Source organism: Homo sapiens, chromosome 2 (genome assembly GCF_000001405.40).
Source record: "Homo sapiens chromosome 2, GRCh38.p14 Primary Assembly".
Taxonomy (NCBI): domain Eukaryota; kingdom Metazoa; phylum Chordata; class Mammalia; order Primates; family Hominidae; genus Homo; species Homo sapiens.
This window is the reverse complement of record NC_000002.12, coordinates 87,699,518-87,725,010: the sequence shown is the minus strand read 5'-3', so window position 1 is coordinate 87,725,010 and position 25,493 is coordinate 87,699,518. Positions and strand designations below refer to the sequence as shown.

Sequence of the window (25,493 nt, the reverse complement as noted above, 5' to 3'; positions counted from 1 at the left end):
GACTGCATCTCAAAAAAGAAAAAAAAAAAGGAAACAAGAACCTTAATAAATCTGCTACAGGTCTTACCTATATATGCCCCCTTTGCTCTCTTTTTTTCTCTCTCTCTCTATATATACATACAGATATAGATATCTAATTATATGCTATTGTTTAAAATGCTTAGAGATAGTTTTGTAAAAAGCATCCTTTTATAGACTTGAGTCACCCAGTGAACTTCAAAAGGGCATTCACCAGATTATACTTTTACGGTCCATTTATTTAAGAACAATGTAAATTATATGTTCACAATGCTATATGTTCCCTACGAATTTTTTCTTGATTCTTTTCTTTTTGATCTACATTATACACAGCAAACATTGAATCTTTTTAAATATATTTTGAATATTGTCTTAAGTCACGGATAAAATAATTAACATAAATATTTTAATTACTGCATAAAGTTATCCATTTCACTGCAGCTTTAAAAATACCATTTTTAAAGAGTTCTAAGATGTTATGTAAAATAATTTTAAGTAGATGCAAAGTGTCTTATTTGTAGCATGTACACATACACACACAAAGCACAAAGTAAGACTTATTTGTCTTTACTATATGCTTTTTGTACCTAAAAGCTAACTCAACTGCTAGTGTTAGCACCACAATGAGTAATAAGTTCATAAGTTACACTTGTACTTTCTCAAAAAAGGCAGACATATCAATATGAAAAAACTGAGTGACCTTTCTGAAACATTCATTCATCATATGCAAGAGACATAATATTTATACACGAGAGAAAATAAAATGCAAAGGGTAAGGTAAATTTTCTTCAATGAGAATAACAACATACAAAAGTACAACAGGCCACATCAGTGTGGGTTAAGCAACTATTTAAGAAAATATTCTTTCCTAAATTAAGAGGATAACCTTTCTTTTTGGCCTACCAGAATGACTAAAAGAATAAAATGTTGGATTAATGTCATAAACACATTTTAAATCATGCAAATTCAATTAAATGTATTCAGAAAAAAAGATGCATGTATATATTTTTTAAACCCACCCAAGTATCACTTGAGTGCTAAATCACCCAGATTGAATACATTTTAACATTTGCCAATTTTGCATTAGATTTTCTTTTTAATCTGCACTTAGTATATGAAATCTTTCATATAAACAGTTGGAAAGACTACTAAAATGAACATCTATATACCATGCCTTCCATCAAGAATCAATAATTGTTAAAATTTTGCCATAGGTGCTTTACCTCTGAGACAATTTAAATATTAAAAGCCACTCTGCTCACTATGTCCCTCAGTGAGATTAGGGCTCAGAATAAGCATGGTATGGAGATGGGAATGTGTTCTTTCACTTAGTCAATCTCATTTCCTGCATGCTGCTCAAAGCACAAGCTTTTCACAAATCTGAGTGGAACTCTGGATTTTTTAAAGTATGCAATTTAAAATACTGTATAATTATGTTTGCATATATTATGTACTATTTATCATATATTAAATTATACATTATATGCTACCACATATACTATACACTACTACAACAAACATTATACATACATTTTGTATAGGTTTCACAAAACCATATATACTATAATAGAGTTTCAGTGATAATTTCAACTATGTAATTGTCACCTTTAGAACACATTCAAATCAGCATTAGGGGGACATGCACTATAAAATTCATTGTAATCAAGACTATAACTACAGTTATATATGGCAGAAATAAAAACTTGTGCCAGCCAGAAAGGCAATTTGACATGTTCCTTAAAACCATTCATCTTGCTGTCCTAAGAGTTCTACTTCTAAGCATTTAGCCTAAATACACAGGACGAATACGCCCCAACAATGTTTATAATACCAAAAAACTGTAATTTCCAACAATACCAGGCTGCTTCTATAAACTATGGTATATCCGCTGAATGAAATACTCTGAAGCAAATAAAAATGAGTGTATTGATTAAAAACACATGTATACAATACATACACATAATTATAAACACATACATTTATTTGCTAGATATAAAAGGATGTTCACTGTAAATTTTTAAAAAAATCTAAAATAGATATAAATTTTCTGATAATTAAACAAATATAAAATTATAAATATGTGGAAATAAACTTAGTAAACATATATACTAAAATGTTAAAAGGAGTGATGCAGAAGAGTGGGAGTACTGCAAGTGACCATTGTTTCTCTTTTTGCTTAGTACATTTCTTGATTTATACAATGATCATCTGTTTAAACTATGACGTAAGACATTTTAAAACTAAATATTTTTACATATTAAACTTAAGATTATTTAAAATTCAAGTCTCATCGTTATCAATAATATCTTTCTGAACTTCTCCAAGTGACTTTTTAGATCTTGAAATCACCTCATTAAAAAGCAAAAATGAGTAATGAACTATATTCTGCTTCTCTCAAAGTTTAGTTTCACATGGCATTTGAGCTTTGATAACCACTACAGCAGCTATTAGGAAAATTTTAAATCACTGGGGATAGAGGGAGCATTTCTTTTGTTTTAACTAATTTAAAGAACTACACTTAATGCATGTACTTAATCATTTTCCTTTCTCATTGAGCCCAGAATTTAACATACCAGTCAGATTCAATTTAGGAATAGGCAATGGCTCTGTTGGAACAGGATGGTACGAAAACAAGGTAAACATTCCTCGTCCTACAGGAAGAGCCATAGTTCGCTGACACAATTGGAGCAATCTGTAATTAAAGTAAAAACCAACATGTGAAAATGTTTAAAGCAAAGAGCAATTGAAATATCATCTGTAAGTATTTCAAAAGAAGGTGTACTGTATAAGATGAAGTTGTCTCAAAGTAAATTCATACACAGATGTGAGTGAACTACCCAAACATGATTATTTTCATTTTAATATTCTTGTTCCTATTACACTCTTAGGGAGAGACATATTTCCTCTGTTTTGTTTCATATTTACATTGAATGAAAACCACCTGGCCTATAAACCAAGCCGACTCTCTCTAGGCATTCAAAAAAAAAAAAGAAATTTAAAATTCCACTCCGATGGATGCTAACCTTCTCAAAGGAAAATACAGTACTTTTGGGGTTTTTATCACTGTGTTAATTTCAGTCTAGCTGTCCTCAGTACATGTGGGATCCTCCTCCCATCCCTTTTGCCAATACAGCCTCAGAAGTACCATTTCTGTGGCCTGTACACAAGAAAAGAAACAAGGTCCTTGTGTTAGAGGTGAATGGATTTCATGGTGTCTCCAAGGGAAATACAGATTGGTTTCACTTACATGATGGCTAGATTTATAGGACTAATACCATTATGTATCAGGTATGTTCAAGGTTAAAATGGTTTCTGTTGGCTCTACTGTGAAATTCATACACCACTCTTCAACTTCTTCCTATGTTAAAATAGCTTAACATTCCATATAGCCACTTAAAAAAAACTAACAGAAATTTTGGAAGTAGGGCATTTATAACTAAGAAACACCTATACAAGCTATATCTGAAGACACAGAAATATCCCTTCAGAGGCTGACAACTGACAAACATTTTCTCTGCAGACAAAGCTATTCATAAGCATACTCCCTCCTTAACTGGACACACATAACTGCTTTTCTAGCTAACTGGAAAGAAAAATTTTGCTGTCTTAAAGATTCTCTGGGAACACAACCGCAACATTAATTTGGGATCAGGAAAATTCAAAGCCAAGAGTCTGTTGCAACCCATAGAATTTTTTTAGAGGAAATCTTACACATAATTCACTTCAACTTTGCGCAAGTAACAAAATTATAATGAGAACAATATTATATCCCCTGAATATAAGATGCCACTGATAAGATGTATCATTATTTCATGAGAAACTAAGAAAGAAAAAGCACTGCCAATTAAACTATGACGCCTGTTCACTAAAATACACAACTGATTTCAGAGATATTAAAAAGTGAAAAAACTTGCATCTTAGAATCAATGAACTCTACTAATAATAATGGCTGACTGCACTGAGCTTTACTATGTATTGAGCAGTATTCTAAGTGCTATGTAAAAATAATTCACTTGATACACAGCACCATCCCATGAAGTATGCCTACTTTTACAAATGAAGAAACTGAGGCAACAAGAGGTAAAGTAATTTAACCAAAGTCACCCAGCACAGCATGGCCATGCCTGGCTCTAGAGGCCATGCTCATAAATCCTATGCTCTAAACTCAACTTCTGTCACTCCATCTTTTTATTCACAGGTGACTAATAACTGGGTACATGTGGAGAGGAAACAGTTAATAGGGAAATCACAACTAATTCAGATCTTCAGCAGCCTGTGGCTAAGTGTGGGTGATGGTTCCCCTCAAAACAGTACCATAAAAAAAGTAAAGAGAACTAGAAAACAGTGACAGATGAATGATAGATGATAGAGACAAGCAGATAAAAGAACAGGAGAGAATTTTAAAACAGAAGTGTCCCAAGAGAATAGCTCTGGAATGTCATAGGCACGTGAGTCTTATAATGTATCAAGGGATGTATCCTGTGCAGGGGAGTGGCAGAAGAAAGGCTTATCTATTTTTATTTGGAGTATTATCTATCATATCCAAAAAAAAAATACTGATATAAGTTTAAACTACACTAAAAACCCCACTAACCTCAAAATCTATTCCTGATCAAGACACAGAAAAACAAGTCCAGTGTTTTCTTTGTTTGTAAATTCTTAAGGTAACTATCAGGCAAAATAGTTTTACATTCACCTTTTCTAAAGAGTAAACTGTTATATGTATTTCAAGAGGAGGACGGTATGAAATACAACAATTATGTCCTCAAAAGCCAAAGACATTTTGCTAACACACGTGGTTTGTTAAAGTTGGATGAAAACTTAAAACACAGGGCATATTTTCACTTGAAAGTATCTTTTAAATCTCTTTAGGGTTTTAAATGCTAAAAACTTGAAGGAAAAACAAATATAAACAAGACACAAATGTAACAATGAAACGTGACAAGAGATAGTACACGTGTTTTCTTTCACCTGTTTTCCTTTTCCTCGATGAACTCGTGGTCACTGAGCTCTGGGTACTGCACTACGTTGACACGGACAGGATGCGCACTCTGAAGAAGCCTTCGCACATCCTGCACCCTTAAATCTTCACTCCATATTAATGACATGACCTCGTGATTCATGTCATTCATGCCGTCATCTTCCTCCTCAGTTTCTGTACCTGAAGGAACATCTGATGAGAGCACCTGAGTAACAGATTTATTATAATAATAATTTCAAAAGCAGTTAACGTGCACTTGCTGAACATGAGGATATATAGGCTGATGTGCCATGACTATACTAGCACAGAGAAAATATGTTTTCCAAAGCAGGCATGGGTTGGGGCCGCAATGTATACTGGGACTCTAATCTACAAATCTTTCTAAAAAGTACTATATTGCTGGCTGGGTGTGGTGGCTCACACTCTGTAATCCCAGCACTTTGGGAGGCCGAGGTGGGTGGATCACCCGAGGCCAGGGGTTCCAGACCAGCCTGGCCAACATGGTGAAACCCGGTCTCTACTAAAAATACAAAAATTAGCTAGCCAGACGCAGTGGTGCACACCTGTAGTCCCAGCTACTGGGGAGGCTGAGGCTGGAGAATCACTTGAATGCGGGAGGCAGAGGTTGCAGTGAGCCGAGATCGTGCCACTGTACTCCAGCCTGGGTGACAGAGTGAGATTCTGTCTCAAACAACCAAACAAACCAAACAAACAAACAAACAAAAGTACTACATTGCCTACTTGGAAATATTTGGAAATGACGGGGAGAGTTTAAATTTAGGGCAACAGTCAAGGGGCTGGATACGAACAGAGAAATATTCTGAATAAACTATAAAAAAAATCTAACTACATCCTGATCATTTCTTAAAAAAAAATTATTGCAAGTAGAATATGAATACTAGTCACTGCTAATAATGCTAATTTAAATATTGTCTGTTCATTAATAGAAGGAGAAGGAAAAAAGCCTGAAAGGATATACCCCAAGGGTTGGGGGAAGTCACACAATGAAATACCTTTTACTTTACTACTTTAAATAGACAGGATCATGGTTGGATTCCATTATTAAGCTTTTTTTTGTTTTTTTTTTTTGAGACAGGGTCTTACTCTGTCACTCAGGCTGGAGTGCAGTGGTGTGATCCTGGCTCCCTGCAACCTCCACCTCTTGGGCTCAAGCAGGCTTTCAACCTTAGCCTCCCGAGTAGCTGGGACTACATATGTGCACCGCCCACCCAGATAATTTTTTTTATTTTTTGTAGAGACAGAGTCTTGCCCTGTTGACCAGGCTGGTCTTGAACTCCTGACCTCAAGGAGATCCACCCACCTCAGCCTCCCAAATAGCTAGGACTACAGGCACATACCACCACACCTGGCTAAATTTTTTAAAAAATTGTTTAAGTAGAGATGAGGTCTCACTATGTTGCCTAGGCTGGTCTCAAACTCCTGGGCTCAAGCAGTCCTCCGCCTTGGCCACCCCAAAGTGCTGAGATTACAGGCATGCGCCACCACACCCAGCCAGTTTTCACTATTTTTTAAAAAATGTGTTTCCAATAAAAATTTCTTAGAAGGAAAAGTACTGAACTACAGCAAAACAAGTAAGAGGGTAAATTCCTTGATTGTCATCATGTTCTAAGCCCAGCATGTGCTTTAATATGGGGCTTCCCAGTCCAAATAATTAAATCTAACTGCAACACAGATGTGAATTGCGTGGAATCATATCATATTCTCTCAAAAACAGTATTATACTCTTTTAACAAAAGAATAACTCCAAGTTGAAATGTTAAAGTTTTGCAACATTTAATGTGAAACCAACAAGGTCAGCCTGAAAAAAAAGTAGATACGACCAAATAATCACTTTTAGTTCCTAAAAATTCATTTTTAGCTCCTATAAAATATCTAATTTAAAAAAAAAAACTATATTCTAATGGGTGAGTTAGCTATAAAACATAGTCTCAAACAGTGACAAAATAAATTTAGATGGGATTAGTTATAAAATGTAGCCTCAACTGAACAAACTGTATTTAGACATAATTACTTAAAATCACATTCAAATACAGATTAATGTTTTAATGCTAATGGTGCTGAACTGCTCTCTCTCACAGGAAAATCATTTTATAAGCAAAAAGATTTGTTTTCTGTTTAAAACAGGATGTAAATACTAATTCAACGAAGAGCTGTGATTGAGGCGCAGATTAAAGGAGAGACGTGCTGGGATGACCGTGCTGGAGATCAGATGCCCATGGAAACTGACTCCGGCATGGGTACACATTAGGCAACTCTGAGGTTAGGAATAAGTTTTGATATAGGCTCTGAAGAAGTAGTAATAAGACCTAAGGTGACTCATAGTTACAATGCACTGATTATTATGTATTGATTCAAAAGCTACTAAGAGGTAAGACCAAATTCCCACTGTCTTCTCGGGACATGAACATAAAAGAGTCACCAGGAGTGGAATTATTATTCCTGAATCCTCCTTGATGAGATTCTACTGTTCATTTTTTAAAGTTACCTAGAATTCTAGAATAAGTTTTAAAAGTTTCATTTTCAAGTTTTAAGAGAGGATGATATAAAAAGATAATTGGAGAGTAATGAAATAATTTTACTTTCTACTTGCAGGATTCCTAGAACTCATTTAAAAAAAAAAAAACAGACTTGATGATTGATGAAAGACAGTATTTCGGGAGGGATAGCTTAAGACATCTTTTTAAACAACTCTACTAAAAAAACACATTTTTTCCCTGGGGCTGCAGTTTTATGTGATTAAATAAATATGTTTACACCTATTTAAAAGGTTAAATTCAAAAAATTCAACACATCGAAAAATATGCAGTAGAAAATATTTATATATAATTACTCATCCAAATTCAGGATATATGTGCTCTCCCTTTTCCTATGTAATAATTACAAAGTGGTTAATTACTAATATGGTACAAGTAGGGAAATAGCCATGGTAGTTTCCATGACTACACTCAGGACTTGTCCTGATTCAAGGCAAAGAAAGATCCAGGCACAAGACAGAACATTCACAAAATCTCCTGCTCCTATGCTCAACTTAACAATTAATAAGACGCATACAATTACAAACCCCGTCTGGCATATAATATAAAAGACAAGCTAATATATATACTTAGAAAAAGCCTTAAAGGAAAATGAAGAACATTTCTACTTTATGATTTTATTTAAGGCTAAAATTGGAACTCTGAACTTTCTATGTTGATACTCACAGACTTCCCTTTGGGTAAGTTTCCTTCGCAGGCCTGCTTGGAAAGATCCTGACGTCCAGTCAAGAGACAGACAGCTTCTGGCCAGTCTGAGGCAGGCTGCTCACGACAGTGATAAATTGCATCTCTGATGGGAAGAGCAATTCCAAAGGGAAGAGTTTCCAAATCTCTTAAAGTGAATCCTAATGGTTAAAGGAAGAGAGAAACATTTTAATTTAGACTTGCCACTGTCCCAATTATCCTAGCTGAAGTTGGCAACAATATCTATCCTGACAAATAAATTCATTTTATTCCTCTTAGTACCAGACTAATGTCTTAACATCAGGGACTAGTATAGGAAGTCTCTTTGAAAGAACTTGTAAAAACCTGAAGAAAAAAAGACAATCTAATAGAAAAATATAAAAGACAAAAAGACATTTCCTAGAAGGGGAAACATAAATGGGCAATATGCATATGAAAAGATGCTCTACCTAATTAGTGATCAGGAAAATGCAAATTAAAGCCACTGAGAAATGTAAATGTCAAAGCCAATCAATACCAAGTGTTGGCAACTATGTAGAGCGATAATAATTCTTTTTATTCTTTTTTTTTTTTTTTGAGATGGAGTCTTGCTCTGTCACCCAGGATGGACTGCAGTGGTGTAATCTCGGCTCACTGCAAGCTCCTCCTCCCGGGTTCATGCCATTCTCCTGCCTCAGCTTCCCGAGTAGCTGGGACTACAGGCGCCCACCACCATGCCCGGCTAATTTTTTTTGTAGTTTTTTTTTAGTAGAGACAGGGTTTCACCGTGTTAGCCAGGATGGTCTTGATCTCCTGACCTCGTGATCCACCCGCCTTGGCCTCCCAAAGTGCTGGGATTACAGGCATGAGCCACCGTGCCCGGCCCGAGCAACAATAATTCTTATCCATAGCCAATGGTAGTGTAAACTGGTACAACCACTTTGGAAAACAGTTGGTATGTATAGGTCAGTCCACCCATTTGATCCATCAACAGCCATATAGAAACTTACACCCAGGTACACCAAGACACAGGTATAAAAATATTCATTAGCAATACTGGTTTGCTATGGAAAAAAAAAAAAGAGATGGAGAAAGGGGTAAGTCCGATTGTCTATCATTAACAGAATGGGTAATTAAATTGTGATATGTTCAAACAAAGTAATCTCTATATCAGAGAAAATGAATGACCCACTGCTACTGCTACGTGAGTCGACATGGATGAATCTTTAAAAAACAAAGTTGAGTGAAGAAAAAGGAACATATATTTACATCTATATATTTTCAAAACTACATAAAACCTAGCAATTTATAAAGATGTAAAACTATAAAGAAAAACAAGAGTAAGGTAACACAAATGTAGGTAGGGCAGTGGTTCACTATAACATTGGGGTGTGTGACAGGAGGGGACCATCCAAGAACAGATATGTAAGGGCCTTCTACTATGCGGGTAATGTTCTATTTCTAGGGGTGGGTGACCAGTACATCAATACTCACTTTAGTACCATTCTCTAAACTAAACATATACGTTTGACATATTATTTTGTAAGTATACCATATTTCATATTTAAATTTTTTTATCCTCAGGTTAATTAAATCATGTTTTTCTTATCATGATTTTCTAAATTTTATAATACTATGCATTATTTATAATATAAAAAGTCGATTAACTATTGAGGCAAAAAATGTTTCCTTATATGAGAATAACACTTATTAAATATTATGCAATATACAAATGGATAGAACTAATCCAATATTTTTCAGCATAGGTATCCTGTATGTATACTACGCAACAGTTATTGTCATTTTTAAGGTAAAATGCAAAAAAAAAAAACCTGTCAGAAACTTCATTTAGAACATACTTTAGATAAGACTTCAAAAACATCTTTTAATATTCATTAAAACTTTACTTTTTAACATACATCCCATATAATATCCTCATCTTTAAAATCATGTCTTCGTGGCAGTAATTTTTAATTTTGTTTTTCAGTTCTTTGTGAAAAAAAATTTCTTTGGTATTTTACTTAATTTAAAACCTAGGAGCATAGGTTTGGGGAATAGGGAATATAGAACGCTTTTCCTTCCTCTTCCTCTTCCCAGTTCAATGTTCATCTTGGTGCCTGAAATCCCTTCAAAAGTGCATTTATCCTTCAAAAGTATACCCTGAAATGTTTATATTATTGCTTTTAGACTTTGCCAAAACCACCCATTTCTGATATCTGAGTATCACAATGATTTCAGGTGTATATGTAGGGTAATTAGAGTTCTCCATTCTCAGAGACCAGCTTACATAGCCATAGCCTCAAATGTTCCAATGTAATGGCAAATAAAGATTCCTTATGCACCAAGATAAAAAGCTGGTATCCCACATATTATTATATGAAAGTTGTGAGATTGTCGAGAAAAAAGAATATGGCTTGATGAACCATAATCTCAATCTTGTGAGGCCTTTTCACAAAGCCAGAGCCCCTCTCTCCTCATGCCTTCCACTTCTAGCTAGTCTGGAGGAAGCACGGCCTAGTTAGGAGGTAACAAAGAAGCTCTCACCTACATTAGTCATCCAGCCAACCAATCTTTCAGCTAGACTAGAAACAGACGTAGAATGCCTGAAACTAAACCTATAAGAGAATAAAACATAAAGTAATTAAGCAGAACAGTAAATAATATTGTTTTAAGTGTCTGACATAAAAGCACAGTCTAAATAAAAGTCACCTGTTTTCCTCTTGTTCTGCTTGCAACTTCTGGGGGGCTAAAAGGCAACAAAATGAAACTTAATTTTGATAGTCATCCTGGTAAAGAAAACATGTAACATGTAGAAGACATTTGAAAATAAGAATCCATTAGCAAACAACATCTAAAAAAATAATAAAATAAGCAATACTGTGGCAGGCTGAAAAGTACAGTCAAGGCCCTCAGAATACTCAGGGGACTGGTTAGGACACCCCATGTGTACCCAAATCCGTGCATGCTCAAGTCCTGCAATTGGCCCTGCAGAACCTGCATATGCATTTCACATCAGAGAATACTGCATTTTCTATCTGCATTTGGCTGAAAAGAATTTCATTGTAAGTGGACCCACACAACTCAAACTCATGTTGTTCAAGAGTCAATGGTACAATAATTTCCTTCAGGCTAAAATAGTCCTTTTTACCCGCACTGAAAATACAAGATTTATTAGATTTTAAGTAATCCTGATACCTGAAAATTAGTTGTGGACAACAGACCGCAACAGACCAGAACAGTACTAAAAAGGTAAGACATGGCCGCCAAAGCAAACAAGAAAAATTCAATTCTTTTTTCAATTCTGATACTGACATCTACAAAAATTTGATTCCAGAGGCAACATTGCACCAACTTACCTACAGTTATTCTGGTTAAATACTGTGAGGATTCATCAGAAACTGAGCTCTCATCACCAAGTATGTACAGTGCAATACTCTGCAAAAGAAGAAAATTAACATTATTTTTCTCTTTCCAGAGACAGCATCTCACTTTGTCACCCAGGATGGAGTGCAGTGACACAATCACAGCTCACTGCAGCCTCAAACTCCTTGGCTCAAGCAATCTTCCTGCTTCAGTCTCCAGAGTAGCTAGGACTACAAGCACACACCACCATGCCCAGCTAATTCTTTTATATTATTTTTATTTTTTGTAAAGACAGAGTCTTGCTGTGTTGCCCAGGCTGGGCTCAAACTCATGACCTCGAGCAATCCTTCTGCCTCAGCCTCCCAAACTGCTGGGATTATAGGTATGAGCCACCACACCTAGCTACATAATTGAAGTGTAACTAGAAAATAATTATAACATAGAATAATTCGTCCATTTTAGGTGTACAGCTCTGTGAGTTTCGACAAATGTTATATCACATAACCACTACCACACTCACAATATAGTATACTTTCATCATACCAAAAAGCTCCCTCGTTCCTTTTGTAGTCAATCCTTTCCTCCTACACCCAGCACTGGAAACAATTCATCTGTTTTCTTGCTCTACAGTTTTGTCTATCCTACAATATCATGTAAATGAATCATATGATACGTAGTCTTTTTTGTGCTACTTCTTTAACTTAGCATAAGTCTTTGAGATTCATTCACATCTCTCCAAGGATCACTAGTTTCTTCCTTTTCATGCTGAGTAGTATTCCATTATACAGACATACCAAACTTTGTTTACCTACTCAAAAACTGATGAACATTTGGTTCCAGTTTGTGGTCACTATGACCAAAGCTGCTTTATTTTTTATTTGTTTATTTTTTTTGAGACGGAGTCTCGCTATGTTGCCAGGCTGGAGTGCAGTGGCACAATCTTGGCTCACTGCAACCTCCACCTCCTGGGTTCAAGCGATTCTCCCACCTCAGCCTCCAGAGTGGCTGGGATTACAGGCATGCGCCACCACGCCCAGCTAATTTTTGTATTTTTAGTAGAGACAGGGTTTCACCATGTTGGCCAGGTTGGTCTCGATCTCCTGACCTCGTGATCCGCCCTCCTCGGCCTCCCAAAGTGCTGAGATTATGCCACCGCGCCTGGCCCCAAAGACATTCACATACATGCGGGTCTTTATGTAGGCATATGTTTTCATTTCTCTTAAGTAAATACCAAGGAGTTGGAATTTGTCTTATATAAGTGTATGTTTAACTTCACAAGAAACTGCCAAACAGTTTTCCAAAGTGCTGTGCCACTTTTGCAGTCCCACCAGTAATGTATGAGAGTTTCGGTTGCTCCACATCCTCACCAAAAGTTATTTTCAGTCATTCCAACAGGTATCGAATAGTGCTCTCTCACTATCTAAGAAGTATCTAGTAGTACAGAGCTGTAGTGGTATTTGCTTTGAGGAGGAAAAGAAAAAGATAAGACCAAGGAAAAAGTCTCTCAAAAGAGTTAAAATATTCAACATATAACACAAACACAAAAGTACATAAGATCTCTGTATTAAATGAGAAAACATACATGAAGTTCCTTGAAGACAACAGGCTCCCAATAAATGTTATCTCACTTCCTTCCTTTCCCTCATTTCAACAAATGGTACACAGACAATGCCATCTCCGCATATACAAGTGAGTCAATAGAAAAAGAGCCACCATAAGCTAGAAGGTTACTACAAATGTCTCATTAGCTAACATCACATAAAAAAAATTTATCACTTGCGGTCAGGAGTTCAAGACCAACCTGGGCAACATGGCAAAACCCCATCTCTACTAAAAATACAAAAATTAGCCGGGTGTGATGGTGTGCACCTGTGGTCCCAGCTACTCAGGAGGCTGAGGTGGAAGGACTGCTTGAGCCCCGGGAGGTTGAGGCTGCAGTGAGCCATGATTGCACCACTGCACACCAGCCTGGGTGACAGAGTAAGACCTTGTCTCAAATAAAAAAAATAAAAGTAAAAAAAGTCCAATAAAACTTATAATGACGAAACCAAAAACCTATCAATAAGGGCTTCTGTTGATATTTTTCAGAATATTTTTATAAATAAAAATAAATTCATATTTTTATAAATAGATCTCTGAGCTGACAAGTTATAAAGGAATACCAAGAGGATAAAACTAAGATGAAAGGCCAGAGAGGTAAACTGAGCACTCATGCCAGTTTTACTGAAAAGACATTCACAGAAAAACCTATAGAATGGGAGAAAATATTTGCAAATCATGTATCTGACACATTAATATCTAGAGCATAAAAATGCCTAAACTCAAAAATAAAAATCCAATTTTCAAATACACAAAAGATCTGCATAGATATTTCTTCAAAGAAGATACGTAAATGGCCAATAAACACATGAAAATATGCTCAATATCACTAATCATTAAGGAGGCAAATCAAAACAATGAGATATCACTTCATAAATACTAGGATGGCTATAATTTTTAAAAAAACAAATAGAAAATAATAATATGTGTTGGCAAGACTGTGGAGAAATTGGAACCCTTCCTCTTGCATTGCTGATAAGGATGTAAAATGGTATAGCCACTATGAAAATGAGTTTAGCAGTTTCTCAAAAAGTTAAACATCGAATTACCTACCATATGACCCAACAATTCCACCACCAGGTATATATTAAAAAGAACTGAAAGCAGAGACTTGAACAGATATTTGCATACCCATGGTTCACAGCAGCACTATTCCACAGTCAAAAGGTGGAAACAACCCAAATGCCCATCATCAGGTGAAATGATAAATTGTGGTATATCCATACAATGGAATACTATATAGAATACTGCCTTTAAAACAATGTAATTTTGATACATGTTACAATATGGGTGAACATTGGAAACATTATGCTAAGTGAAATAAGCCAGACACAGAGATAAATATTGCTTGATTCCCATAATATGAGGTACTTACAAGAGACAAATTCATAAGAAAGAGAACGGAATTACCAGGGCCTGGAAGGAAGGGGAATGGGGAGTCACTCTAATAGGTACAGAGTTTATGTTGGGGATGATGAAAAAGTCTTGGGTACGGACAGTGGTGATGGCAACATAACAATGTGAACGTATTCAATGCCACTGGATTGTACACTCAAAAATAACTTCAGGCCGGGCGCAGTGGCTCACGCCTGTAACCCCTGCACTTTGGGAGGCCAAGGTGGGCAGATCACTTGATGTCAGGAGTTCAAGACCAGCCTGGCCAACATGGTGAACCCCATCTCTACTAAAAATACAAAAATTAGCCAGACTTGGTGACTCATGCCTGTAATCCCAGCTACTCGGGAGGCTGAGGCAGGAGAATCGCTTGAACCTAGGTGGCGGAGGTTGCAGTGAGCCGAGATCGTGCCACTGCACTCCAGCCTGGGCAACAGAGTGACTCCATCTCAAGAAATAATAATAATAACAATTTCAATGACAAATATTATGTTATATATATTTTGCTATCATTAAAAAAATCTGTGTTTTTTAAACAGAATCATCATTCTGTATGTCTGTTTTGGAGCCATGGGGGGACTCTGAAGCACTTCTCACCATGAAGCAGAGCAAAACGTAGAGTAAAGAAAAAGAAGGGCAGGGGGCAAAGACATTTGCAGTCTGCCAACATTTGAGAGAAGGGACAAAAGCATATGGTTCTCCTGCAAGCCTGGGAAGACCCCACCTGAAAAGGCCCACAAGGGGCCTATGAGCAGGCTGCTCCAGGATGGGGGGACTGAGGAACAGGTATGCCAAGAAACTTACCTCATTCACCGTTACAGCCCTATGGTTCTATATGAAGGTTTGATCTTGGACATGTATTAACCAGTAATAACAAACTAATTTCTAAAAATAAATAAATCATGAGATTTGCAGCTAGAGGTAAATAAAAAATAATAAAAATAAATAAAGAAGTGTTTCTTTGAAAAAAATTTCAGCAGGATTTTTCTTTGTAGCTATAGACAAGCGGATTATAAAATCAGTAGGGGACGGGCGCGGTGGCTCACACCGGTAATCCCAGCACTTTGGGAGGCTGAGCCAGGCGGATCACTTGAGGTTGAAAGTTCAAGACCAGCCTGGCCAATATGGTGAAATCCCGTCTCTACTAAAAATACAAAAAATTAGCCGGGCGTGGTGGTGGGATCCTGTAATCCCAGCTATTTGGGAGGCTGAGGCAGGAGAATCGCCTGAACCCAGAAGGTGGAGGTTGCAGTGAGCTGAGATCACTCCACTGCACTCTAGCCTAGGCAACAGAGTGAGACTCTGTCTCAAAAATAAAAATAAAAATAAAATCAATATGAAAAGGCAAGAAGAGTAATGAAGGGAGGAGTAACGCTAATCAATTTTAAAGACTTACTATAAAGCTACAGTAATGACAGCGTAGACAGCCACAAAGATCAATGAACCAGAATAGAAAGTCCAGAAACAGACACACAAGAATGTGGCCAAATTAACTTTTGACAAAAGTGCAAATGCAATAGAGGAAGGATAGTCTTTTCAAAAAACAGTGCTGAAAGAACTGGATATCCAAATGAAATAATAAAAACCTTGACTTAAAACCTGACATGTTATAAAAGATTAACAAAATGGATTAGAGATCTAAATGTAAAACATGCAAAGAAACCCAGGAGAAAATCTTCAAAACCTGAAGTTAAACAAAGAATTATTAGACATGACACTAAAAGCAACATCCATTAAAGAAAAATACAGATAAACTAGCTTCATCAAAATTAAACACTTTTGCTCTTTGATGTATTAAGAGAATGACGAGACAAGACAAGGTAGAAACCAGAAGAAAATATCTGCAAACCACATATCTGACAAAACCTCATACCTAGAACGCTGAAAACATCATTAGCCATTAGGAAAATGCAAATTAAAACCACAATGAGGTATAACTACACATCTCTCAGAAAGACAAAAATAAAAAAGAGTGACAATACCAAATACCAACAAGAATGCAGGTAAATGATCTCTTAAATATTGCTGGTAAAAATGTAAAATGGAAGAGCCACTCTGGAAAACAGATGACAGTTTCTTTAAAAACAAAATATAAACTTAACTGTATGACCCATCAATCCTACTCCTAGGTACCTGTCCTAGAGAAAGCAAAACTTATGTTCACATAAAACGCTAAGCATGAATGCTGACAGCATCTATATTTACAATTGCTAACAACTGAAATCAACCCAATTATCTTGAATGAAAAACCAACTATGACACATTCATGCAATAAACTACTAATTAGCCATAGAATGCAATGAACTGTCGATACAGGAAACAACTTGGATGAGTCTCAAAATCATGAGAGAAATTTTTGAGGGTGATGTAAATGTTCTATATCCTCATTGTAGTAATTACATGAATCTATACACGTACTGAAATTCACAGAACTATACACAGAAGAAAAACTTAATATTAGGTGTACTTTTTAAAACTAAATTTTAAAAGAAAAAGGAGATAGGTAGTAACACTCCACATACATACCAAGACTACAAGTCTGCTTCTTTCACAGATTCCAGGGAGGTAAGGATAAGGCGGCATTCCTTCGCCCTTCAGACAAGAACTCACCCACTGATAAATACTTGGTGGCTCAGACGTAAAAAATGATGGATGATGCATAAATCCTGTTTGACCTTTAAAATTAGATAAATATTCAAAAAGACACGAAAATACATTAAGACAACATTATTTTATTTTAAACGGAAGATGATCAACAGTTACTTGTCATTTTGAAACAACTAGAATAATATTTTTCCAGCCGGGTGCAGTGGCTCACGCCTGTAACCCCAGTACTTTGGGAGGCCCAAGCAGGTGGATCATGAGGTCAGGAGTTAAAGAACAGCCTGGCCAATATGGTGAAACCCCGTCTCTACTAAAAATACGAAAAAAAATTAGCTGGGCCTGGTGGTGCGCACCCGTAGTCCCACCTACTTGGGAGACTGAGGCAGAAGAATCACTTGAACCCAGGAGGTGGAGGTTGCAGTGAGCCAAGATCATGCCTAAGAGACAGAGCGAGACTGTGTCTCAAAAAAAAAAAAAAAAAAAAGGAATAACGTTTTTCCATATTCTCCAAAATGCTTCATGTTTTCTGCCACAGTACATAAGGAACTATGTTATTAAATGTAGAATTTAAATGACTTCTATTTTATCCCACCCTGGATGGAAATTTAGCAAATTCTTGTTCCCAAGGCATATAAAGAATCTAACCAAAGGCTGGATGTGGTGGCTAACACCTGTAATCCCAGCCCCTTGGGAGGCTGAGTCAGGTGGATCACTTGAGGTCAGGAGTTCAAGGCCAGCCTGGCCAACATGGTGAAACCCCATCACTACTAAAAATACAAAAATTAGCCAGGCGTGGTGGCACACACCTATAAGCCCAGGCAATCCCAGGCACTTGGGAGGCTGAGGCAGGAGAATCGCTTGAGCCTGGAAGGCAGAGGATGCAGTGAGCCAAGATCGTACCACTGCACTCCCATCTGGGTGACAGAGTGAGACCCTGTCTCAAAAAAAAAAAAAAAAAAAAAGAAGAAGAAGAAGAATCTAACCAAAAATTTTGCCCTAACCCTAAAGGTGAAAAAAACAAAAGAAACATCCAGGATTCAGCTCTGTTCCAACAACTGGGTCCCAAATTTCAGTACCTTTAGCTCAGGGTCTAGGACAGTACAGTAGTGATGGAAATGTTCTGTGTCTGTATCTGCACTGTCCAATATGGTAGCACTAGCCCCATGTGGCTACTGAGTTCTCAAAATGCGGCTAGTACACTGAGGAAATATATGTTTTATTTTAATTGAATTTAAGTAGCATATGGTTAGTGGTACTAACTGTACTCTACAAGTCTAAGTTAAAAGCATCCTTGGCGGCCTGGCGCAGTGGCTCACGCCGTAATCCCAGCACTTTGGGAGGCCGAGGTGGGTGGATCATGAGGTCAGGAGATCAAGACCATCCTATGTAACACGATTAAACCTCGTCTCTAATAAAAATACAGAAAAATTAGCCAGGCATGGTGGCGGGCACCTGTAGTCCCAGCTACTCAGGAGGCTGAGGCAGGAGAATGGCGTGAACCCAGGAGGCAGAGTTTGCAGTGAGCCGAGATCGCGCCACTGCACCCCAGCCTGGGTGACAGAGCAAGACTCCGTCTCAAAAAAAAAAAAAAAAAAAAGCATCCTTGACACTGGAAGCTCTTTCTCTGACTTTTGCAAGTCAGAACCTTAGGGATGGGTAAAATTTTCCCTATACACTGAAGATATTATGGCTTACTACGTGTCAGAAAACAAGCACTACGAACTAAAATCTGCCTGGTGGAAAGGCATTGCCCCTGACTTAGAAGCTAATGGTAAGAAATACATCCTCTGCTATTCATTGAGAAAAATACAAGGAAATATCACTACACTGTTTAGAAAATATTTAAAAGCACGACTACTTACCTGGATCAATTGTGCACACTTGTCCAGTAGTTCTGACAAGCGTTGGGTAGTCTCTATAGTAATGATCTACATAAGGCCCCAATTTTAAGTAAGTAAGGCATGCAAAAAAGAAGGTATTACAGCACTTTCTCCCAACAGAATTGGAAGGATTAATTAGTTGAATCTTTAAATTTAAAAACTTACTTATGAGAAAGATAACCAAATCTAGAGTCTCTCTATTGTATTTTTGGACTTTAAAGTGCCCAGTGTGACAAATGGAACCCAACCTCTTTTTGCTAAATTTTGTGGAAGTAAAACTACAGTAAAAGCACCATGATCTAGTTCCTCCTCTGCTATTCATTAGCTGTGTGATCTTCCATAAGTCATGTCTATAAACCTCAGTATTTTCTTCTAGGAAATGGGGCAATATCAGCTCACTTACTCTGAAGTTTTAAAGAGTAAATAAGATAAAATATGTAAAAAAAAAAAAAACCTGATAAAATGTAAAACATCATACACATTACTTATTTCAGACAGCCATGATTATGGTTTGGAAATTATTTAATTACAAAATAATTTTGATGATAGTAATGACATCCTAAGAGATATTTACCATTGATTAAAACTGCCATGTCTCAGGATTGAATTTCAAGATCTCAAAAAAGACAACAGAAATTAGAAAATGTACTATGTCTTAACTCAGAGGCTGACATTTCAATTCAAATTCAACTTCTTTATCACCAAAGGTCATAAAGGTCAAACAACACACAAGTATGACCCTAGAATTCTGAGCCATACACAAGGTGCTTCAAAGCTCTTGAAAGGTGTTGAAACGTATTATTAGAACTATCTTATTGTGGATCTACTATGAGTGCCTCAAAGACAGGGACAACCTCAGACTGCAACAAGGATAGCATAGCAAAATGAGTCCACAACTATCAAACACTCATATCCCAGGAAACAAATTTAGGCAAGTTTCCTCATCACTAAAATAGGAAACTTACCTTGTTTGAGACTTTATATGTAAACTATGATTTTGTCAACTATAAAGCACTATTTGAATGTGGATATTACAAAACAGCAGATGTTATTCTAGAACTCCCACCACAGTATAGTCAGTCAGTCATCCTGTCAAAATGAAAATCTGAGCAGGTCATCTCCATTTTTTCGTGACCTTCCACTAATCTCAGGACAAAGACTAAAAATCCCTGCATGGCTCACAGGCCCTTACAAAACCAGTATCTTCAAACAACTCTGTGGTTTACAGAGATGCCATAGTTTTCAGAGAAGGCAGATTTCAGAAACGTATTTACAAGGTCCCTATATGATATCATGGAAAAGACAGTCATCTCAGGACTTCCTGGCAGTTTCTAACCTACAAACAAATTTACCTTGCCAACTGAACGAGAAGTTCAAGAGTGAACAAATTCCTTCTCCCATTAGAGTATTCAACTTAAGCTCCTCATACACAAGGCGAAGAACGAAAAAAATTGCAGGTATGTGAGTAAAGAGAAGTGTAGAAGAATCCAGACTGAGATTCTGTGAAAAATCCTCATCCTTCATCTGTGAAGCTTCTGAAGGACTCAGACATAAAGATCTGTTCAAAAGATGAGACTCAACACTCTGGTGGTAGTCTGAATTTAGTAAATATTCCCAGTCCTGAGAAGAATAAAAAGAATATTAATTTTTAAAAATAATACCTCCTTATAATATCATAAGAAAATTAATTCACTTAAAACAATTCAAGTTTCATTTTCACATTAAGTTGATCTAAGAGTATGTTAAAAAAAAGACAATGCTAAGAATGAAGTAACTATAAAATAGCAAGCCAGTTATAAACGTTAAGGCAAGCCACCTTTAAAAACCATTAAAAAAAATCTTTTCATGCCCTTTTAGGAAAGACATTGGGAGAAGAATTATACAATTTAGGTAGAGATTGAGAGAGAAAATTTAAGATTATCTCAGGCTAGGTTTTATAGGAAAAGTAGATGGCAAGTTAGTGGCCACTACACTGAACTGTGTTTTGGTAAGAAGGAAGGTCCACCTGCATTCATCTGGTGTATTCATCTTTCCACATGTATAAGATGCCAGGGCTACTAATATAATCTAATAATCAACTGATTTTTATATTCAGACTGATTGGACTACATTTTCCAAATGTTCAGTCTATTTTGGTTCTACTTGTGATTTACTGCATTTGGTTCAGAGAATGTGGTTTATGCTATTTCCAGGTCTTGGAATTTACTGGTGTTTTTATAAGGCTTAATACAGTGTGTTATTCTAAATTAAAAATTCTTGGACTAGATACAGAAAGAACTAACCATAAAAGAAAAAACTGGGCCGGGTGCAGTGGCTCATGCCTGTAATCCCAGCACTTTGGGATGCCGAGGCGGGTGGATCACGAGGTCAGGAGATCGAGACCATCCTGGCTAACACGGTGGAACCCCATCTCTTCTAAAAAAAATACAAAAAAATTAGCTGGGTGTGGTGGCGGGCACCTGTTAGTCCCAGCTATTGGGGAGGCTTAGGCAGGAGAATGGCATGAACCTGGGAGGCGGAGCTTGCAGTGAGCTGAGATCATGCCACTGCACTCCAGCCTGGGCAACAGAGCGAGACTCCATCTCAAAAATAAAATAAAATAAAATAAAAAACTGATATATTGGATAACTAAAATAAAAAATTCTGCTCATCAAAGACACTGTTAAAGCCACATTCTAAGGGAAAATATGGTCAAGAATTCATGTCTAGAACATGTAAGAACTTCACCAGCTTACATATTTTTTAAAATCTAATTTACAAGTTGATAAAGATTTGAACAGAAACTTCACAAAAAGATACATAAGCAGCTAATGAGCACATGAAAGAGTGTTTAACATCCTCCAAACTCAGCCTCCAAGTAGCTAGGACTACAGGTTATGTGCCATCATGCCTGGCTAATTTTCAAATTTTTTTGGTAGACAACTGGTCTTACTTAAAAATTAGCCAGGCATGATGGAGCATACCGGTAGTCCTAGCCACTTGGAGGCTGAGGTAGGAGGATGGCTTGAGCCTAGGAGTTCGAGATTACAGTCAACCACGATAGCATCACTGCAGTCCAGCGTAGGCAAAAGAGTGACACCCTGTCTCTTAAAAAAAAAAAAAAAAAAAAGAAATGAAAATGTATGTCCACGGGCCAGGCATGGTGGCTCACACCTGTAATCTCAGCACTTTGGGAGGCCAACATGGGTGGATTATTGAGGCCAGGAGTTTGAGACCAGGCTGGCCAACATGGCAAAATCCAGTCTCTACTGAAAATACAAAAATTAGCCAGGCATGGTGGCGCATACCTGTAATTCTAGCTACTGGGGAGGCTGAGGCATGAGAACTGCCTGAACTCAGGAGTCAGAGGTTGCAGTGAGCCGAGATCGTGCCACTGCATTCCAGCCTGGATGACACAGCAAGACTCTGTCCTCCCCCCCCCCAAAAAAAGAAAATATATATCCACAAAGACTTGCCAGTGAATTTTGGCAGTAGCTTGCTTTATTCATAAGACTTAAAAAAAAAATGGAAATAGCCTAGATATCTACCAGCAGAAGAAGGATGGATAAACAAACTATGGTATATTCATACTACTCAGCAATAAAAAAGCACAAACTACGGGTATCTGTAACAACATGAATGAATCTCAAAAGCATTATGCTGAATAAATCTTATACCAAAGATTACATACTATATTATTTTATTTACATCAAGTTCTAGAACAGGCATAACTAAGATATGGTGACAGAATTCAGATCAGTGATTGCTAGAAGAAGAGAATAAAGCTGATTAAAAACAGCAAGAGGGGCCAGGCCCAGTGGCTCATGCCTGTAATCCCAGAACTTTGGGAGGCCGAGGTGGGCAGATCACGAGGTCAGGAGTTCAAGACCAGCCTGACCAACATGGTGAAACCCTATCTCTACTAAAAATACAAAAATTGGCCAGGCGTGGTGGCGCATGCCTATAATCCCAGCTATTCAGGAGGTTGAGGCAGGAGAATAGCTTCAACCCAGGAGGTGAAGAGCCGACATCGTGCCACTGCACTCCAGCCTGGGCAATAAGGCAAGACTCCGTCTCAAAAAAAAAAAAAAAAAACCGCACGGGGAAATTTTACGGAGTTATAAAAATATTCTGTGTCTTTATAGGAGTGTAGGTTACATGAGTGTGCATATATTAAAACTGATCAAACTGTAAACTCAAGATGTATTTCATTTTTGTAAATTACACCACAATTTAAAAAAACATATTTGGACCACTTAAGAATAATACCATGGAGGCCAGGTGCAGTGGCTCATGCCTGTAATCCCAGCACTTTGGGACGCCAAGGTCAGGAAGGTCACTTGAGGTCAGGAGTTCGAGACCAGCCTGGCCAACATGGTGAAACCCTGTCTCTACCAAAACTACAAAAATTAGCCAGGCATGGTGGCGGGCGCCTGTAATCCCAGCTATTCAGGAGGCTGAGACAGAACTGCTTGAACCTGGGAGGCGGAGATTGCAGTGAGCTCAGATCGTGCCACTGCACTCCATCCCGGGCAACAAGAGCGATACTCCGTCTCAAAAAAAAAAAAAAAAAAAAAAAGGAATATACCATGGAACCTGATACGATTGAGAACCTTAATTTAAAAAACACTGCATAAAAAAGGTAAATGCTGTCATTTCAGGTGATCAGTTGATAATAAAATGTCTACAAACCCAAACTGAAATCATGCAGTAATACATACATTAATTTTTGGATAATCATTAAAGACCATAGAAAATGTAACAGATCCTACTCTTCAAAATAATTGCTATTCAGTATTAAAATAAATAAAGTGAAAGGTGTTGGAAAGATAGAGGAATTGATAGGAATACCACAGAAGTGGAAGAATAGTATGAATATCCATAAATTAATTTATATTAGCAAGAAATAATAATGCTTACATCATCAGATCCAGTCTCGGAAGGCTTTTTTGGGCGCAATGACAGGGGAAAGTGATCCTTCAAAGTCAAACTGAAAAGTAACCCCAAAAGAAAAGATAAAAATCATAAATGCATTCCTGTCAACTGATCAACTTAAAGGATTCAGAAATCAGTTCTGCCAATTATGAAAACTGAGAAAAGCCATCAAAACTCATTTTTTGATCTGGAAAGTCATTATTTAAATATCTTTCTTCTAGGTTACTGTAAAGATGAAATGAAATCATATTAATATATGCAAACATCTAGAACAGTGCCTGGGCTCCTAAGTACTGATTTTAATGGTAGTTTCCTTCCCTCTCCTACTTCTGTAATGACATAGATTACAACACATCTTTGGTAGAAAAAGAAACTTTAGGCATATCCACAATATACCAAGTCTCAAAGGATCAACCCAATATCAGTCAAATGTTAGAACTAAGCAAACATTTATTTACAGTCCACCTACAGTAAACTATCTAACAATTCTATGGCAGAGACAAGTAGCTACTCTGGAAAATCTTTTTTTTTTTTTTTCCTTTACATTCTTTTAATTAAGTCATCATACACACCTTTCATTTTCTTGAAATTTATTTTTATGCCATTCATTAAATTTTTGTTTTCTTCATTCAAATTGTTACCTGTTTTAGAGACAAAATTTTTTTTTTTTTGAAAAATTTTTTTTTTTTAATTATACTTTAAGTTTTAGGGTACATGTGCACATTGTGCAGGTTAGTTACATATGCATACATGTGCCATGCTGGTGCGCTGCACCCACTAACTCGTCATCTAGCATTAGGTATATCTCCCAATGCTATCCCTCCCCCCTCCCCCCTCCCCACCACAGTCCCCAGAGTGTGATATTCCCCTTCCTGTGTCCATGCGATCTCATTGTTCAATTCCCACCTATGAGTGAGAATATGCGGTGTTTGGTTTTTTGTCCTTGCGATAGTTTACTGAGAATGATGGTTTCCAATTTCATCCATGTCCCTACAAAGGACATGAACTCATCATTTTTTATGGCTGCATAGTATTCCATGGTGTATATGTGCCACATTTTCTTAATCCAGTCTATCATTGTTGGACATTTGGGTTGGTTCCAAGTCTTTGCTATTGTGAATAATGCCGCAATAAACATACGTGTGCATGTGTCTTTATAGCAGCATGATTTATAGTCATTTGGGTATATACCCAGTAATGGGATGGCTGGGTCAAATGGTATTTCTAGTTCTAGATCCCTGAGGAATCGCCACACTGACTTCCACAATGGTTGAACTAGTTTACAGTCCCACCAACAGTGTAAAAGTGTTCCTATTTCTCCACATCCTCTCCAGCACCTGTTGTTTCCTGACTTTTTAATGATTGCCATTCTAACTGGTGTGAGATGATATCTCATAGTGGTTTTGATTTGCATTTCTCTGATGGCCAGTGATGAGCATTTTTTCATGTGTTTTTTGGCTGCATAAGTGTCTTCTTTTGAGAAGTGTCTGTTCATGTCCTTCGCCCACTTTTTGATGGGGT

General features: G+C 37.1%; 1 long non-coding RNA gene and 1 pseudogene across 2 annotated transcripts in view; both read right to left on the bottom strand.

Moving 5' to 3' along the window:
• The window catches only part of ANAPC1P4 (ANAPC1 pseudogene 4), a 38,267-nt pseudogene extending 14,239 nt beyond the window's left edge, over nt 1–24,028 (bottom strand). Inside the window, exons 1-9 of the transcript NR_160651.1 lie at nt 23,958–24,028; nt 20,411–20,678; nt 17,101–17,249; nt 11,574–11,652; nt 10,927–10,963; nt 10,762–10,832; nt 8,221–8,399; nt 4,990–5,204; nt 2,592–2,710 (exon numbers count right to left, since the gene is read on the bottom strand). The product of NR_160651.1 is annotated as an ANAPC1 pseudogene 4 (transcript). The remainder of the gene's footprint in view (nt 1–2,591; nt 2,711–4,989; nt 5,205–8,220; nt 8,400–10,761; nt 10,833–10,926; nt 10,964–11,573; nt 11,653–17,100; nt 17,250–20,410; nt 20,679–23,957) is intronic.
• The window catches only part of NCAL1 (NK cell activity associated lncRNA 1), a 282,375-nt gene that overhangs the window by 12,843 nt on the left and 244,039 nt on the right, over nt 1–25,493 (bottom strand). Inside the window, exons 3-11 of the long non-coding RNA NR_186253.1 lie at nt 23,958–24,027; nt 20,411–20,678; nt 17,101–17,249; nt 11,574–11,652; nt 10,927–10,963; nt 10,762–10,832; nt 8,221–8,399; nt 4,990–5,179; nt 2,592–2,710 (exon numbers count right to left, since the gene is read on the bottom strand). This is a non-coding gene — a long non-coding RNA (NK cell activity associated lncRNA 1). The remainder of the gene's footprint in view (nt 1–2,591; nt 2,711–4,989; nt 5,180–8,220; nt 8,400–10,761; nt 10,833–10,926; nt 10,964–11,573; nt 11,653–17,100; nt 17,250–20,410; nt 20,679–23,957; nt 24,028–25,493) is intronic.